This window comes from Homo sapiens, chromosome 10, assembly GCF_000001405.40.
Source record: "Homo sapiens chromosome 10, GRCh38.p14 Primary Assembly".
Classification (NCBI taxonomy): Eukaryota; Metazoa; Chordata; class Mammalia; order Primates; family Hominidae; genus Homo; species Homo sapiens.
The window spans coordinates 11,291,462-11,309,613 of NC_000010.11; the positions used below are offsets into that span (position 1 = coordinate 11,291,462).

Below are 18,152 nucleotides of genomic sequence, written 5' to 3' on the forward strand. Positions count from 1 at the left end.
TAAAATAGTTTAAATTGCCCATGGTTAAAATAAGTGTTTCGTGCAATTATCAGATGGTAGTGAATAAAATTAGAAATTAAATCATGAAAGAATAAAATCCAGGTAAGTGCATATTATGCCTTTTATGAGTTTCTCACGGGTCTTTTGAAGCCTAATTTAATCATGTTTCTTGTCTTTTATTTTGATATGATCATTTTACCTGTGTTTACCCCAGTCTCCTATTTAGTTAATTAATTCTTGGGTCATTTATTGTTACCCAGTTTTTAACCTGTTTTTGACGACTGTGTCTCTGTTTATGCAAGAGGCAAATTGTCTAGAAGGGGTGTAGCTAGGTATTAAAGAAGATAATGTTTGTCTTCCATTCAGCTTGCAAATGAGTTAGTTTTGTCTGGTAATTTTGAGCGCTTGAAGAGACTGTTACTGTTACCACACATGAATATTTTTTGGTATTTTTTGGTCTAAAATGTATTGCATTCACGTACCATGTTATTCCACTGAACTTCTTCTGTCTTCTTCTTTAAAGAAAAGGATGCTTTAAAATTCTCCAAATGCTTCTGTAAGTGCAGACTTGACCAAGTACACATCCAGGATCATAGACTGGTTCTTCCCATGGTACAAGGCATTCTAAAATGCTAGGAAGCATTTTTTCATTCCCACCATTGACCCTTCAAAGAGTTATCACTTTGAATTCTGGGTGGTATTTTCCCCATCTTCAAGGTATCCCCAGCTTCCTTGAAGGCTGTGACAAACACCAAGCTTCAAGGAAATGGTGACACTTCCTCTTTGACTATCTGAGGGTAACAGAGATTGGAGTGTTTGGACGTTGTTCAGGCATTCCCTGCTCGCCTCACATAGTCATGACTGATAGACGGTGACTGTTGTTCTTGCACACCTGTGTCACCAAAGCAGCTGAATGAGCAGTGGGAAATGAGAATTCACCCTTGAAGTTATCCTGTGGCCTTTCCATTGACAGGGGGCTTTGTCGCCACCTTCAATAGATGTCTGCATTTGCATCAGAGGAGAACTTGCATTAGGCAAAGAGGTGTGATGCATAAGCTGGTTTAACCCACATTTCTGAGCCTTCTAGTTCATGCAGGGCAAATACATAAAAATGAGTTGGGGCCTGCACTGCCCCCTCCAAGTGGTGACATGCACGAGGCAGTATCACCAGATGGGAAAGAGTGGGGCAGGAGAGAGGGACAGACAGGTGGACAAAGAGGCTGTCTCCCCAAGACTACTGCAGTGGTCCCACATCCTCAGAGTCGAGAATTAAACTTGCCCCACAGACCTGCCCTTCCCGCTGCCTGCCCCACCCTGCTAAATGGATTGTCCCAATGGCTGGTGTGACTTGGTCGCTGATCTTTGCAGCTGGCCCCTGGCTCAGCTGCGTGCCTCATCAGCCCCTCAGTTCTCCCTGTGAAGCATCATTTCCCTCCCAGGCAACAGGAGCCTGGAAGAGACCCTTGTCTTCTCTCTCCTTGTACTACTGGAACAGCCTCCAACTTGGCCCCTTCCCTCTGTCTGTCTTACACACTGTTGGCAACTGCGGTCTAGACTGGAGTGAAACAAACTCCTGAGTGTGGCATTCAGGGTCCACCTGGACCACCTCCGCCCTTCCATCCAGAATCCAGCCAGCACACACTCGCCCAGATCAGGCCACCCCCCGTAGCCCAGCCACGCCGTCGGCCTTTACGCCATTATTCTTGCAAGCTTCTCTACCTAGAACATCTCCCCCATTTCCTCCCACAAAAATCTAATACATCACTAATACTTGTTGCAGTGCTCATTCTTGAGAATAGTGTGGGTGGGTATAAAAGCGTTTCTAATGCACATTATAAAAAGTATAGTTTATGCTGCTTCTGTAATTTACACTATAAGAAGATTTTTGGCGGTAATTAGTAAAAACTGTTTTCAGTAACCTACTACTTATATGAATCAATGCAAATGCCACCTCTACCATGAAGCCTTCTAGTTAGGATTGATCACTTCCACATCGTATTGCTGAGTAAGTTCCTAGCTCATTCTAGACCTGGGGCAGTGCAGAGGTTCCTGAGGAGCTGTCGGGCTGCTTGAGGCCAGGGGCAGAGAGGGCTGGAGTGTCAGTGCTGGCCAGGCGTTCTGCAGACGTCACCCCTCTCCTGTGCTCCCAGGGCACACTCGGCCTCCCTTCACTAACACTGACCCTGTTGTCTGCAGGACGGTGATGTGGGCACTCACTTTGTGTCTTGCCCTCTAGCCAGTGAGTTATTTTAAAGTAGGGAAGGTGTGTTATTTACTCATAATTCCCCCTTGCATCTGGAGCAGCACATCAGACACAGGCCCTCAAGTGTTGTTTGTTTTTTTTTAAATTCAGTGGAATAGCGAAGCAAAAATTGTCAAAGACAAATGTTTAAGGGCCATCTGTTCAGTCTAGTTTAGCGCACACGTCTCTAAGGAGGCAGCTAAATCCCTCACAGTGACGTTGGCAGGGTCAGCGTACCCACCCAGTTCACCTGTAAGGCGTGCCTCTGCCTGGATCCCTCAAGAACCAAACCTGCAATTTGGTTTCACCTTACAGGTGAATACTCAGGTCCAACAGGTTTCTGAAGAATAAATCAGTACTAACTTACACCAAAACAATCATATGAAGCAGTCTTTTTATTACAGGGGCAGCTTATTTTACAAATAGTGGCTTTCAAAATGTTCTGATGTCACGATATAGAATAAGTACGAGTCTGGTATCAGAGAAGGGCATTTCACCTTCAGAAGAACCACCTACTCTAATGTGTGCTTTTGAAACATAACATCATGGCAGATCATCCCCAGAAAGTGCCCATTAGCTCTGTGTGCACTGCTAAGTCCACGTAGTCTTCCGGTGCCTGCCCACACTGCTTACATAAGCAAGGTCCCATTTTGCTTTTTAGAGTATTTTTTACTTATACCACACTTATAAAACACAGGGCATTTTATAAGTGCAGGGGACCAGTTATTCCTGGGAAGATGGGCTTAGCCTTTACCGTCCTCTTTTTCTTCTTACACCCATCTTTTGTCATTGTTTATTCTTAAGAGAAAGAAGGAAATCTCAAGGTAGACCATTCTTCCCTCCACTAGCGGCTAAGTGTCTCAGTCAGGCAGAGTCAAGCCAGTTGGTAAAATGGGCTGTTCATGTGTGGGTTTCAATCTGTCACACGGCCAGGCGCAGTGGCTCACGCCTGTAATCCCAACACTTTGGGAGGCCGAGGCGGGTGGATCACGAGGTCAGGAGTTCAAGACCAGCCTGGGCAAGATGGTGAAACCCAGTCTCGACTAAAACTACAGAAATTAGCCAGGCGCAGTGGCAGGTGCCAGTAATCCCAGCTACTCGGGAGGCTGAGGCAGGAGAATCACTTGAATCCAGGCGGCAGAGGCTGCAGTGACCAAGATCACACCACTGCACTCCAGCCTGGGCAACAGAGTGAGGCTCTTTCTCAACAACAACAACAACAAATCTGTCAAACGTCTTTTCATTTTTTATTTTAGCTTTCCTATGGTGCTGACAGTCAAACTTGTTTACACTCTTATTGCTGCAGTAGAAAGAGCACTGACCTCCCGGTCTTTGCTCATTTCCTGCAAGTTTCAACATTTTACACTGCTTTTCTGAAAATTGTCTTCTTTGCTCGTGACATTATGGGGCTCACTTTATTTTCATTAATGTTAATGGAGTCACACATTACATAACATGTTCTGTAAATAAAATGACTCTGTAGTGACTGTCACCTCTTGATAGATTTTTTTTTTCATTCATTCAACAAATATGTATCAAGCATCTGTGTGCCTGGAACTGTTCCAGCACTGGAGACACATCAGTAGACAAAGCTGATGAAGATTCCTACCTGCATGTCCTTTCTCTTCTAGCATCAGCTTTTAAGAAAAGCGTCATTTTACTGAATTCACACCATGGTAAAAACAATTTGAATAGCCTTTAAGTATAAATTGTAACTTCTACACTCTTAAAACGTCATAACCAATATTTTGTATATCTTACGTTAAATTTTGTGAATGAGACCAAGAGTGGGAGAGGGAAGCTCTCTTCTCTCCTTTCTTCCTCTCCTTTGAGCTGTACCATCTTTCTGTGTGTTTGGTGCAGCAGAGAGCTGGGAGTAGGGCCCCCCTTAAGGTAGAACTGCAAGTGGCCAAACCAGAAAGCGAGAGGGTTTAGCCCTTGGCCCTGCTGCTCGGGCTGCTCTGTGGCTTCTCCACAGAAGCATGACACACAAACCAGGTGGTTTGAAAGTTCTTCGGCATGTAAGACTGATACTGTTGGGGAGAACAGTAGTTGGAAACAGTGTGTCTGCCTAGTAAATGTCCTTTATTTGGCATTGATCATCCTGCTTCTAAAGGAGGAGAGAGCATGCAAACCCCTCCCACCCAGAGGGGTTTTGAGGGCCCCTTGTGTGGAGGGAGTTTGGGTGTGCAATGAACTTCTGCCTAGTGAGTGGATGGATACTCCAGGCAGTTGGTGCAATGCCCCAACCTGGAGCAGGCTGGAGTCTCTTAATAGTCTGTAACCAATTTAAAGCTTAATAAAGCTGCGCAGCTTTGGGGGTAGAGATATTTACGGTTCACCACAGAGCCCACGCTGGGATTTATGCAAGTAGATTCCACCTGTGCCCTGAGCTCTCCTTGGCGGGTGCCTTCATCCCCGGGATGGACAGATCCTCGCGTGCATCTTAGGGCTGCCACTCACCAAGCGCATTGTTCCTTGTTTTGAGTGGGCTTTTTAACATGTGCAGACATTGACTCTAATTCTTCACGTATTTGCTTTTTGCTGTTGGTGGCGCTGGACTCTGTGCTAAGTGTGATTTGTTTTTAAATATTGCTTTGCACACTCTTCTGTATTGTGGCAAATCCACATCAGATCCCCTTGTGATGTTTATATGAGCTCAGGCTGTGTTTTCTGTCCAGCCACTTAATGAGATTTTTTATTCTCACTAAATCACAGAAATTTTTATTTCTGTGATCTTGTATGATACAAACATGTTATCACCACTAGCACTGGTGAAAAGCATGTGTTGCTTAATTGTGTTATATTAGGTGGGAAAATCAGCAAAGCTTTATTCTAGTCACAACTTCCCAGAAGCGTATACTGTAAGTTCCATTTCTTCAGACTTGAAAGCAATAAAATGGAAATTTTTAGTTCAGATGTGGTTTAATCCCGAGAACCCGTCACCATCAACTAGATGCATTGGCCACCTACAAACACAAGCAAAATGTACCGACCTGTACAGCACAGACAGCAGGAAGGCAGGTAAGGTACAGGGGTCAGTGACAGGAGAGATTCTGCCCCAAGGAAGTAAGGGAAATTTTAGTAGAAGAGTTGACATTTGAGCCAAAATGTTCAGGGTGGGTAGGATGTTTAAAAGTAGAAGCAGAATGGAAGATACATCAAATGTGGGAAAATGCAGAAATAGCATTTAATCAGCAAATGGAAGTTCATCTCACTTTTCACAAGCATGGACATATGGAAAAGGATGCCCACCGGGGACCCTGAGAGCCGGGGCTCAGGAGCTGGGACTTTTCCTGTCAGCAGTGAAGAGCTATTCAGGACTTTAGGCCCAAGAATGATAGACTTCCTGTGTGACTGGACTGAGGCACCCATTTGATGTGAGGGAGAACAAAAGGAAAGGAGGAAAAATGATATGGTGTGTTGGGCCTGGGTGGCCAGTGGAGCATTGCTCTCAGTTGTGAGGGGAGTTGAGGAGGAAGCTGTCATATAAAATGATCGGACGTGGCACATGGAGAGCTCAAGTGCACATGAACGGACATTCCGTGAAATGTGTCCAGCAGCAGTTGGATGTGTGACCATCAGGCTGACCAGAGCCGGGAGCTGCAGAGTGGATTGAGACTGACCTGCAGAGGCCAGGCGGGCTGCCCTAAGCCCGGGGAGGGGTGAGGTCATCAGGCCAAAATCACCAGCAAGGCAAGGCGGGGACCAGGTGCAGAAAGCCTTGGGGTCTGTGCTTGTGGAACAGAGGGACCAGGGGATGGAAAGGGAGCTTTCTGGGTAGCACAGTGTCAGGGGAGCCAAGCAGGATGGGGCTGGAGGAGGAAAAGGCAGAAAGAGCTGACTGAAGTTTGAGTTGGGGAGTGGGTTCTCCCCAGACTGGCTGCTTCACTGCAGTGGTTGACAGTTTTGCAGGCAGTGAGAGAGGACACAATTCTATATGACATGTTCATGAAATGTGAATATTTTTAAAAATCTGTAATGGGGCCAGTCATGGCAGTTCACACCTGTAATCCCAGCACTTTGGGAGGCTGAGGCAGGAGTTCCTTGAGGAACTCCCTGAGGCCAGGAGTTTGAGACCAGCCTGGCCAACATGGTGAAACCCTGTCTATACTAAAAATACAAAAATTAGCCGGGTATGGTGGTGCACACCTGTGGTTCCCAGCTACTCGGGAGGCTGAGGCAGGAAAATGACTTGAACCCAGGAGGCAGAGGTTGCAGTGAGCCGAGATCACGTCACTGCACTCCAGCCCAGGTGACAAGAGCAAGGCTCTATCTTAAAAAACAAAAGAACATGAAAAATCTGTAAAAGTACTGGGGTCACTAGGGGAAGAAGTTTTTATGTTTTTGTTTTAAGATGGAGAAACAAAACATATCTGTAGACCAAAGAGAAGAGCCAGAACAAAGGGAAACAGGAATAGGCCAATGAGAGCTGAAAGCTGGACTAGAGTTGGAGGGCTGGCTGGAGGGATGAGCTCAGCCTCCAGCGTGTCCCTCTCCTGTGGCGAGGGGGATGCTGCCTTCTGAGGGTCGGGTCACATGTCATCTCCCCCTGGGAGGAGCCCCCACAGCAGCACCCTGGCCTTGTGGTGCCATCTCGACCTGGTACTAGCACACAAGCCAACAGGCACAAATCTGAATCAGGGCTGAGTCAGCAGGTGGTGCAGCCTGAGGGAGGGAACACTGACCTCTGTCAGGATTGGGGAGGATGCCAAGAATTTAGGACAGAAGGGTACTTATATCACATATGGGCCAAGAATTGATATATCTGGGGCTAGAAACAAAAACTCATGCCGGGGCAGAGGTTTAAGAAAAAGTCAACCTACAGAATGTAACAGAGGATTTCTAATTATATTTGTCTTTCTAGAGTATGTAGACATCTTGATCAAGAGTCATTGGAGCAAGTAATGTAATCTTAATTATTTTCTCAGTTGTGAAATAGAATTAATTGCTAATACTCACTTTTCTTGTGGAAACATTGAGGTTTATATATACACACATATTTATATTTATGTAAATGTATACTGGTGCTTTTTTAAAAAAACGATGTTTAAGTATCATATATGGGAAAGATCGAATCATTATTTTGGAGTGATACGAAATACCACAGCTCTGGAGAACAGAAGACTAGGTTAAAACTAGAATGAGGGCTGATGATGTTTAGGTTAAAACTAGAATAAGGTCCGATGATGTTTAACTGGGTTAAAACTAGAATAAGGTCCAATGATATTTTTCTCTGAATCTCTTGCCTTTGGAAAACAAGTATCTCCCCACCTTTCCTTTAAAAATTAGGATGTAAATACAGGGAGAAGACAGTTTCCTCACTCCTTTCTGCTTTTGTGTTCTGCTGTTCAAGGGAACGGGGAACTTTCTACCTACCACAAATGCCACTTGAGCTCCTAGAACCAATATCCCCTCCTTACCAAATACAAAATGGTAAGACTGGGTTAAACAGAGCAAGACTGCTGTGTCCAGGCAGGATTTCTGCACTAAGGGTCAGGCCTGAGGCCCCTGGGGAGTTGTTGGTTTGTATCTCGGGCCACACGGCGGGTGGTGCGTGCTCTGCACCGGGCCCTTGCAGGGGCAGCAGTCCTACTGAGTCCACGCGGCGCCCCAGCGAGCCTGCAGCCCTGCTGTGACGTCCCTGGGCTGCGCCAGGTGACCTCTTGCCCCCTGCTACCATTGGGGTCATGTTGCCCAGAGGAAAATCTGCCTCCCAGAAATGATGTTCTCTCCATCTGGACAAGCTGCCCCCCAACCCCCCCCAGGAAGGCCAGACTTCAGACAGGCTGTCAGTGACATGGTGACATGGGCCTGCTTTCCTGAGAAGCCCCTGTCCTTGCCCTTTCTCTTCAGAGGCCCGAGCCCGGTCCCATCATTAAATGCTACAGCTGCTGTTATGTATCCAACTGCCTCTTTTGTGATCCACGTGAGGAAAACAGAGGCCTGCAAGGGTCAGTGGTTTGCCCGGGATGTTAGTGACAGGTGAAATGACAGCGCCACCGCACCACGAGACAGTCCATATTCTAAGCAGGAACTCCTGGGATCCCAGAACCGTATTTCTGGGTTTCGCCAATTACACATTGTCCCCCTTGTAAGGAGATCATCAACATTTTTTTTTTCGGTCCTTCTCCGGGCCATCTGTAAAAACAAACATCTGGGGCCAGCTAAAGGGGAAGTATATACTTTTGTTTCAGTAAATCATAAGCAAAATATCATTGGCAGGGAAAAGAGGTTTGATTTTTCCCTCTCATTTGCCCCGCTCGTAGGAGATCCCTGTGTACTGCCTGTATGAATGGACTCTTCCAAACTCATGGCCCCACACTGCCTTTATGAGTGCCCGTCTTCACGGGACTGGGGAAGATGCTAAAAATTAGGCCGGGTAGGGAGGCACCCTGGTTTATTGACAACCCATGAAGTAGATTTCTTAGATCCACTAGACAGAGCTTCCACAAGCCTTTGGGAATGAACATTAAAGGAGTGGAAACAGGACAGCTGCTTTGGACGTGAGGAGCAGGTGCTGGCCCCTCACTTCCCCGCCTTCCACATGTGTGCCACCGTACAATAAAGCCTCAGCAGTCGTTCTGAGTCCAGACCCGGCCCTCTAGACTGAATTTTCCTCTTCCCAGTCTTCCTGAGAACCAGTAGTGATGACTCTTGCCCAGCACTGCACCAAGCCAGGTGGCATCAGCTTCCTTGGGAAGCAGAACTGGCAGCAGAAGAGAGGGGCACCAATGTCTCTGGGGAAGGTACCCTCTTCCAGGCTGGGAGTGTGAGGTCACACCTCACCACTGCAGCGCCCAGTGTCACTTTCCAACCCTACCTCCTCTTCCTCAGTCACCCCGCCCCTCCCTGCCCAAACTATCTTCGAGGGACTAAATTAAAATGAAAGGTGTGGTTATTGTGGAATAATTAGGCCTCACGGGGGGAGAGGCGTAGTATATTAATGCCCCAGGGTTGTGATTGGCTAGTAATGCTAGTGCCTGTGTCATGGCTTAATTATCCTACTTCCTCACAATCTTTTCCTGCGCAGTTGGAATTCCGCATCCAAGCTCGTTTGAGGCAAAACGGCGACCGCGGGCTCCAGTGTCCTGAGTATGTTTGGTCAATGCAGGCGATTTTCTCCGTGTTTACAATGATTTTATTTCCTAAACCACAAAGCCACTGTGTTTTCACTATCTAATTGTTCTGTGGAAAGTGTTTAACGAGGGCACCGAAGGCAAATTCTTGCTGTCTTCTGTTAATGTTGTTTTGTTGCAGCTTTAAAAAAAAGTATTTTGCTATCCAGGAAGAGTGGGGAGTAGGGTTAATATGAGAACATTAATGCATTTGTTCCTAGAAAGCAAGCCAGTTTCTGGGACAGACTTAACGCTAGACATGCCCTGCAGATACACTGAGACCAAGACAAGGGCGAAGGGGAAAATTCATATGGGAATTATATTTTAAATAAAGAACTGGCAAATGTGAGAGATGGATAAGCCCCTCATTGCTGTTTTTCTCCCTTTCGTCGTGGATCTGGAATCTTTAGAAGGATGGAGGAATACCCAAGTTCCTCCGCAGGCAGCCTCACCCCAAATCAAGAGTCTTGTTCACCATCCCACCTTCTACACAGAATAAGAAGCCCACTGGAGCCCCTATGCGGGCCCTGCTCCCGCTCCCCACCCCGCTTCCCCCCCACTTCCCCCCTCCCCCCGCTTCCCCCCCTCCCGCACCCCACCCTGCTCCCACCGCCCCCCCGCCACTCCCGCTCCCCCCACCACTTCACCCCCCTCGCTTCCCCCCCTACCGCACCCCCCCACCCCGCTCCCACAGCACCCCCCACCCCGCTCCCGCTGCCCCCGGCCCCGACTCCCGTTCCAGTGAGGGGAGGTGGGCTTCTCCAGGACGGGCTTGGACTGGGCCTCAGCTCCCACCTGTGCAGAGTGGCGGCCTGGGAGCTGAGCGTGGCCCTCGGCAGCCCTGCTTCTGAGCTGCATCAGAGGAACGGAGGGGTTCTCTGGCCCTGGCCCGGTGGCACCACGGCAGCAACTGGCTTTACCCACTCTGTTTCTGAAGCTCTTCCTATTTTCTCTGGCACATAAGCAGAAGGGAATGGTTTGATGAGGGTCCTGGGTGGGGCCACAGGCTCACCCATGTCGTGAGGAGCCCCAGTTAGGCCGCGGGAGGTGGAGTGCGAGGCCCTTGTCCAGCGCACTAGGGCCTGCACGTGGGCCTCATGTGGAGAGAGCCAGACAGGGCGCCCAGGTCAGCCGCCTCCGCCTTCGCTGGAACCGCCTGCCCCTCCTCCGCTCAGCAGATGCCAGCTCAGTGCCCGCTGCACCAGTGATTCTCATAGTTTCTAGGGAAACGGACAAGCAAATCCCTGCTCTTCAACCGGCTGTCTTCTGGTGGGGTTTCTTTTCCTCTGGAAGAACAGAACCGTAACTTACCACTCTCACCTAGTTTTTGACTCTGGGTTCCTTGGTGCCCAGTGACTGTTGCCCTTTCCTGTCACAAACCAAACCTTCCCACTCCCTGCAGCCTCTCACCTTCTCATGCCTCAGAATCAAGTTTTCACCCAGTCGTGATGGAATTTGACAGCACCGCATCGGATAGTCCTGACACACGTGGTTCTCTAATGTTTGCATGCAAAAGCAGCGCCGAGGGCTGGTTCAACTCAGATGCCCAAGCCCCACAACCAGAGCGTCTGACTCAGCGGGAGTGAGGGGAGCCCCAGGTGGTGCCGATGCGGGCGAGGCTGTAACTTTACAGTAACGATCTTCTCCATTAAATGTGTCTGTGGCTGCAGTGCCCCCAAAGGACAGGATTGGGCCCGCCTCCCCCAGACAAGAACTCTGACCAAATGGCCTGCAGAGCATCCGCAGCCCAGGGCCCTGGGCCAAAGGGACTTGACACCACACAACTGTGGTCTTTTTCTTGGTGACTTTCTCTGTGATCTGGTCATTTAGGATCGAGTTGGGTGTACTTGGTGTGGCAGCTGCTGTGTATAGGTTTCCCCGGGAGAGAAAGTAAAAGCTGTTTCCATTTTAAGCTTAATGGGGCTTGTATTTATGTCGATCCTTTGTTCTCGGGTCTCTAAATTGACATGAGATTTTCACATTGTTCCGCTGTGCTGCGGACAGTGGAAGTTGGAGCCTTCACCAGAGTTCTGCCTGGAAGCATTAGAATCCTGCCTTCCCGGAGTCCTCTCTTTCTCTGCCAGGAGATGAAGCCAGCGTGTGTTTGGCACAACAATAAGAGCTTTTCAATAGTTGGCTTTTTGGACCTTGTGGCCATCAAGCCTAGCCTCAGGGTCTACAGAAACCCCCTTGATACATGTCGGAGGCATCTGCTTTCTCACCCCACAAACAGGGACTCGAGTGCCTCAGAGGTGGCCCAGCGGAAACTTCTTCCCTAGCCGGCTCTCCTCTGTATCGAACTAAAATCTGCCTCTGAACAGCTTCCACCCACTGATCCTAATTTTGATCTCTTGAGCTGCAAAGAATATCTTTCTCACGTCAAGACCTAAGACTGTTTCTTGCCTTAGTCCCTTGCCTCTCTAGGCTCAATTTTACTCTTATCAGCTCACTCTCTTTCAACTCAACTTTCATGTCTGGTCACCCTTCTCGGGACGCTCTCAAAACTATACACACAGACTGACCTTCCCAATGACTGGACTAATGAGAAAGGCTGCAAAATTAGTCATCCATCCAGTCGCCACTCTGGGGAAGAAGATGTTGAATCTTCATTGCAAGTGCTGTAAAATGAAGTGTAAAGATGCAGTTCCTCTTTTGAGGACAGAATACCCAGATTCTCCTCCTTCAGATACAGACTGAACACACGTTTATTGATCACCCGCTGTGCATCAGACATCAGTGCCGCCTTCTTGGATTGCCACGCCCATCCGCAGAGGCAGTGTGTGTTACTCCCGTTTCGTGAATAAACACTAAGCCTCAGCTGAATGGAGCAGATGGCCTAAGGTCTTACAGACTGGAAGGAACAGAGCCAAAAAATTAAAGGCAAATCTGAGTGAGTGCAAGTTTACTGCTTCCATAAGTAAATCTCTGCAGTAGCCACTAGATAGACATAAGAGGGGAAATAGAATCTTGACTTCCACATCAACATAATGCTGACTTTGCAGCCAGACCCCTGGGTTTAAATTCTGGCTCTGCCACTGAGAGTTGTGTGACCTTCCGCACGCGACTTCACTTCACAGGATAACTGTAAAGGACTTAATAGGCTAAGGCATGTGACGTGCTTTTGGCAATGAGCAGCACGTGGCAAGCACTCACACCTTAGCTGTGCTCACTGTTAGCTTTATTCCCAGTACGGTGGAGCTGCAGAATGTTAGTTTCCTGTTGCTGAGATGACAAGTTACCACCAACCTCATGGCTTAAAACAACACATTTATTATGTTGCAGTTCTGTAGATGAGGAACCCAGCAGACTCACTGGGCTAGGGTCAAGGTGTCAGCAGGGTGTGTTCCTTCTGGAGGCTCTCGGGGTAAATCCATTTCCTTTCCCGGCTTCTGCAGGCCACCAGCTTTACTTGGCTCATGGCCCCTTCCTCCATCTTCAGAGCCAGCAAGTCCTCATGCTGCCATCTCTGATTTTTTCTCTTTTGATTCCTTCTTCCATTTACAAAAACCCACCCAGACCATCCACAATAACCTCCCCCATCTCAAGTTCTGCTGATCAGCAACTTTCCTAGTCCATTTTCTGTGGCTTATAACAGAGTACCTGAAAGTAATTTATTTTAAAGAGGAATTATTTCTTACAGCTCTGGAGACTGAGAAGTCCAAGGTCAAGGCAGTGCATCTGGTGAGGGCCTTCTTGCTGGTGGGGACTCTGCAGTCCTGAGGCAGTGCGGGGCATCACATGGCCGGGGCTGAGTGTGCTAACATGCTTGCTCAGGACGCTCTTCCTCTACGTATAAAGCCCTACTTCCACTCCTGTTACATAACCCATGAATTCCTTAACCCACTAATTCATGAACGGATTAATCCATTAATGAGGGCAGAGCCTTCATGATCCAATCACCTCTTAAAGGCCCTGCCACATTGGGGATAAAGTTTCCAACATATGGAATTTGGGGAACACACATTGAAACCATAGCACATTCCATCTACAATTTTCTCTTTGCCATGTAACCTAACATATTTACAGGTTCCAGGACTTAGGACATGGATGTCTCGGGTTGGCTGGGGGGTGAACAGAGAACATAATAGTAATTTTTAGTTCCCTCTCCAAACATAGCCCTTAGGCCCCAAATAAGCTTCATTTACCTATCCAGGAATGGCGCTGTTTGAACAGAGAGAGAAGAGAGAACGGGAATGCCTTTGTCAAACACGCATCGGCATCTTCTGGTTCAACTCGGTGCCCCTCCTCCAGCCCTGGCCCAGTGGATACAGGTCCTTCCCAGTTCTACCAGTCTGATAGTCACCCCTCCTCCCACAGGAAATCCAAGGCTGGTGAGGGGCTAGGGGGAGGTGGTCCAGGTTATCCACATAGCAGAGAAAAGAACTTTTTTCTGGAAAGTGGAGCTCAGGTCCTTGCCTCTCTGGAAATTTATTTGAGTTGGTTTGAGAGAGCTTCCAAACAGCCCTTCCTCCACAACTGCTGTATCCCTAAGTGGCAAAGGCCATTGGCCTCCTTGTGGAGTCCTCATGCCCACACCTGGGTGCCGGCGCCCATCCTGCATCCCTCACGGGTACACCGGGGCCAGTCCCTTCAACACTCTGGGCCTCTGCTTCCTCATCTTTCAAGCGCAGGAAAGACTCCAGTCTAGTTCACAGTTTGCCTGGGAGGATCCCACCTGCAGTAAAATATCCGTCTGAAAGATGTCCTATTACCTGTTATTGTCAGTGGGATTAGGAAGAGAAGGAAGGTTGGGGGGTTCAGCTCTCAGCTCTGTTGGAGATATTATACGGGAGTTATTCCAGGTGATGATCTAGCACCTAATGACCTAGGCACTCGGTCTCTGACCTACAGTGTTAACCTAAGACAAGAATCTCTTCTGGGTGTAGTGTTCATCCCAGACCTAGCACAGCTCTAAGGAGAAGGAACCCATCCCGTCCCCTCAGTTGGGATTAGTGTTTGGGATTACTCAATTTGTAGTTTTCCAACAGTGAGCTTATCTGGGCAAACAAGCAAAGAACTTCTGTGGCCAGGCCAAGGTGGGCATATCCTCACCATCAGGGTCTCTGGACCACCTCGCTTTTCCTGTTCTCCACACCCCACCCTGCCCCACAAACAGTTTTCACAAAAGGCCACAGACTTTGTCTGCACATGAGCTGATAAAACCATGGCCATCCTTGCCTGCTCAACCATTCTCTTTCCTGGCACGCCAGCTGGCCTGAACGTCCGTCGCCTGATTGATAGGTTTTAACCAGTGGTACAACAGGCTTAAAATGTGACGTATCCAAGTTATTGCAGCCACTGTGCGAGCAAGGTGAGGTGCACTTTGCAGCCTCCGTCTGGGATCCTCTTGGCTTTGTTCTGCCTCCTCCTGCTTGGATGGTGCAGCCTCTGCTTGAAGAGGTGTTCTGGGAGATTATGAACCAACATTTATAGACCGCACCTCTCCTGAGATGCTCCTTTGGCATTTTGTAAAACTTTTAAGTGAGAAAGCGTAGGGTACAGTTCTCAGCACAGACTGAAGGAATCTGAGGTGGGAAGAATGCAGATGGTTGTCCGAGGCAGCATCTTGCCAGCCTGCCAGCACAGAAATGGAGAGTCTGGGTGTTGGTGGCACCGCATGTGTCTCTGTCTAAGACCTCTTTCTCAATTGTGCATCTGCTGAACGGTCAGTCTTTAGGTACTTGATCAAGGTTGGCTGTGTGACAAATTGGAGTTTTTCTTATGCTTTAAATTATTTGTTAACATTCAGAAGGTTCTTAAAGGTGGCTAAATGTACAATAAAACTACCCTCTTACAACTGAGATGCCAGTTGGGGTGAATTTTCAAAGTATTGTCTGATGATGTAGAGTGCACAGGGAGTCTTTCCACTTTAAGGCAAGTCATCTAGTTAATTTTTCTTAGTCTCATGCTTGATTCTTCTCCCTCCTTTTCTTCACCGTCTCCCCAACTTTCTACTGGGACCGTCTAAGAACAGCGTAGTAAGAAGTGAGAAATTATGTCCAGTTCACTATAGCCAGCCTCCCAGTTTTTAAATAGGAAGCCAGGGTGTAAAGAGACCTAATTTGCATATTGATTCATTGTCATCAATAACAAAAGGGGCCCAGGGAGTTTCTAGGCCGCCTCCACCTCTCCTATGGCCCCCTGAGCTAGGCTGCCCCATGCTCATAGGCTGTGCGTGTATCTGTGCCTAAGGAGTTCTCTGTCCAACTCACTGTTTGCCATCACCATTGGGAGTCAGCCACATGAGAGCAGTGTGTGGCATCAACACACCTGTTTGCAGACCCACCTTGGAGACTTGGAGGATTTGAGAAGTCTTCCCTAAGCACAAGATCAGCCAGGCCTGGTGTCCTCCAGCGCCTCTTCTCCCTTGCCCCAGGGCGAAGCACTCTCTAGAAGCGCGCTCTGACGGGCACTACTCTGGAGGCACCTGGATGGGGGCGCAGCAGGCAGCATCTCTGGGCCAGCAGTTCACAGTGTGGACATCATAGGAAGAGAAAGGTTACAGCCTGGCATACAGGGCCCTCCTGTGATTTCCTGCAAGGTGGGAGAAGGTCCTCCAGCAGAAGCCAGATCAGTGGCTGTGCAGTCATCAACAGTTGGAGATGTTTAGATGAAAGTGGGGAAAAGTGTTACCTGCTTTCATTGTTTCATAAAATAGATCCTATATCATTTTGTCTGTTCTGTTCAGCCTCTACCTAATAACTGATGATGATCTAAAAATGGTGCCAAATACAGTGCCAAATTCATTACATAGATTATTTAATCTTTACAATAACCCGGTGAATTCAGTGCCCTTCTTCTTCCTCCGTTTAAATACAATGAAACAGAAGGTTGGGGAGATGAGGGAACAAGGCAGGCTTAATGAAACCCCATTTTGCCTCCAGTTGTTTTGTGTTTTGTTTTTAAGATTCCACTGAAAAGAGCTGATGAAACTATAGAGTTGTGTTCTTTATTAAGAGCTATAGTTTCATTTTTCAGTAGCAATGGGGCTGGGCCAGGACCCTTTTTCCTGCCTTTCTCAGTGATGCCCCATGCCAGCCAACCTCCATGATCCTTCCCCTGCTCACCACAGAGGCAGGCAGGTGACCATCCCCACTTACAGTGCAAAAAGGTGGGGAGACTGGTGAGGTCTGTGCTGTAAGATGACGTTCTGCACAGTGCAAGCTGCAGAGACTAAGAGCAACAGCCTGTCTTGTGTTTTGTGTCTTGTGTTTTGCTAGATATAAGATTCTGAGTTAATAGGTTTTTTCTTTTTAGCACTTTGAATATGTCATCTTACTAACTTCTCATCCATTGTTTCTGCTGAGAAGTCAGCTGTTAATCTTACTGGGATCCATGATGAATCATTTTTCTCTTGCTCCATTCAAGATTTTCTCTTAAACTTTCAACATATTTCTGTCATGTGCCAGGGTATAGATTTCTTTCCATTTATCCTACTTGGAGTTTGTTTATTTTCTTGCATGTGTGGATTATTGTCTTTCATCAGATTTGGGAAATTATCAGCCATTATCTCTTGAAATTTTTTTTCTGGTCTTTAGTGCATGCATTACACACTTTACATGTGTGTGAGTGTGCTTAATGGTGTACCATATTTCTGTGAGGCTCTGTTCATTTCTCCATTCTTTTTTCTTTCCATCCTTTAGATTGTAAAATCTCTATCAGTATATCTTCAAGTTCACTCATTCTTCTGCCAACTCAAACCAACTGTGGAGCCCTATGGTGAATTTTTCATTTTGGTTTTTACTTTTCAGCCCCAGAATTTCCATTTTTTTAAATCAGGACACAAGTAAATTACATATAGCCTATTAAAACTTGTCAGTTCAATTCAGGTCACATTTATTTATTAATTAAAGTTGTGTAGGTATTTTGCAGATTATTTCACTGGACTTACCCTCATTTAAAATTGTTTTTGTATGGTGAACTGTCTAGGCTAATTTTTATTTCCATCACTTTCCTACTGAAAGTTAAATTTTAAAATGCTGCCGTTTGCCATTTGCCTGGTAGATGTCTATCACATGCTAGGCAGTATGATTTTCTTAGAATTGCAAGTGTCCTCTGTCCTACTTACTTGCATGTACTGTGTTGATTTATGAATGTTGAAAGAAATAGATTTACTTTGTAAAATGCAAAAAAGAATTTCCAATTTTTTCTTTTTATAATTTCAGCCTTTTTATTGGCATTCTTTATTTGATGAAACATTGTAATTACACTTATAATCCTTTAGGCATGATTTTTTAGATTGTTATCATATTTATAATAGCTGCTTTCATGTCTTTGTCCACCAAGTCTAACATCTGGGCCCTCTTACGCACAGTTTCTGTTGTCTGCTGTCTGCTTTTTCCTGTGTACGGATTGCATGTTCTTGTTCCCTTGCATATATCATAGCTTTCTATTAACAACAGGACATTGTAGATGTTACAGCACTTCTGGGTGCTAATCCTCCTTACCCACTGCACATCACCCCTTCCCCACTGGCTTCTCATTTGTGTTTATTTCCTTACTGATTTAGCAAGAATAATTCAGTGAAGTCTATTCCCCTGCACTGTGCCTCTGCTGTCACTCCTCAGAGGCCACAGCCTTGAGCTATGAGTGACATTCCTATTTTTCCTTTGTTAAATTACAAAATTCTTCCAGACAGCTCCCTTTCACTGCCTCTTTGCCTGATCTCTGTTAAGTTTCTGGCTGCTGTATCTCTGTTGTTTTCACTTCCAGCTGTTAGCCTCCACTAATCTTCAGTTGTTTGCGCTATTATTTTTGGCCCAGGAGCATAAATTGTCCCCACAGTCTGCTCT

General features: G+C 47.0%; 1 protein-coding gene across 70 annotated transcripts in view, besides 3 other annotated features; it reads left to right on the plus strand.

Moving 5' to 3' along the window:
* The window catches only part of CELF2 (CUGBP Elav-like family member 2), an 874,126-nt gene that overhangs the window by 828,912 nt on the left and 27,062 nt on the right, over nucleotides 1-18,152 (plus strand).
* Nucleotides 1,015-1,516: an enhancer, noted in NCBI's record as "H3K27ac hESC enhancer chr10:11334439-11334940 (GRCh37/hg19 assembly coordinates)". NCBI's record gives its function as "activates a minimal SCP1, AML or CMV promoter by ChIP-STARR-seq in primed H9 embryonic stem cells {active_cell/tissue: H9 hESC(primed)}" and the evidence as "EXISTENCE:reporter gene assay evidence [ECO:0000049][PMID:30033119]".
* Nucleotides 1,517-2,016: an enhancer, noted in NCBI's record as "H3K27ac hESC enhancer chr10:11334941-11335440 (GRCh37/hg19 assembly coordinates)". NCBI's record gives its function as "activates a minimal SCP1, AML or CMV promoter by ChIP-STARR-seq in primed H9 embryonic stem cells {active_cell/tissue: H9 hESC(primed)}" and the evidence as "EXISTENCE:reporter gene assay evidence [ECO:0000049][PMID:30033119]".
* Nucleotides 4,060-4,109: an enhancer, noted in NCBI's record as "active region_3009". NCBI's record gives its function as "activates an Ori minimal core promoter by ATAC-STARR-seq in GM12878 lymphoblastoid cells {active_cell/tissue: GM12878}" and the evidence as "EXISTENCE:reporter gene assay evidence [ECO:0000049][PMID:35858748]".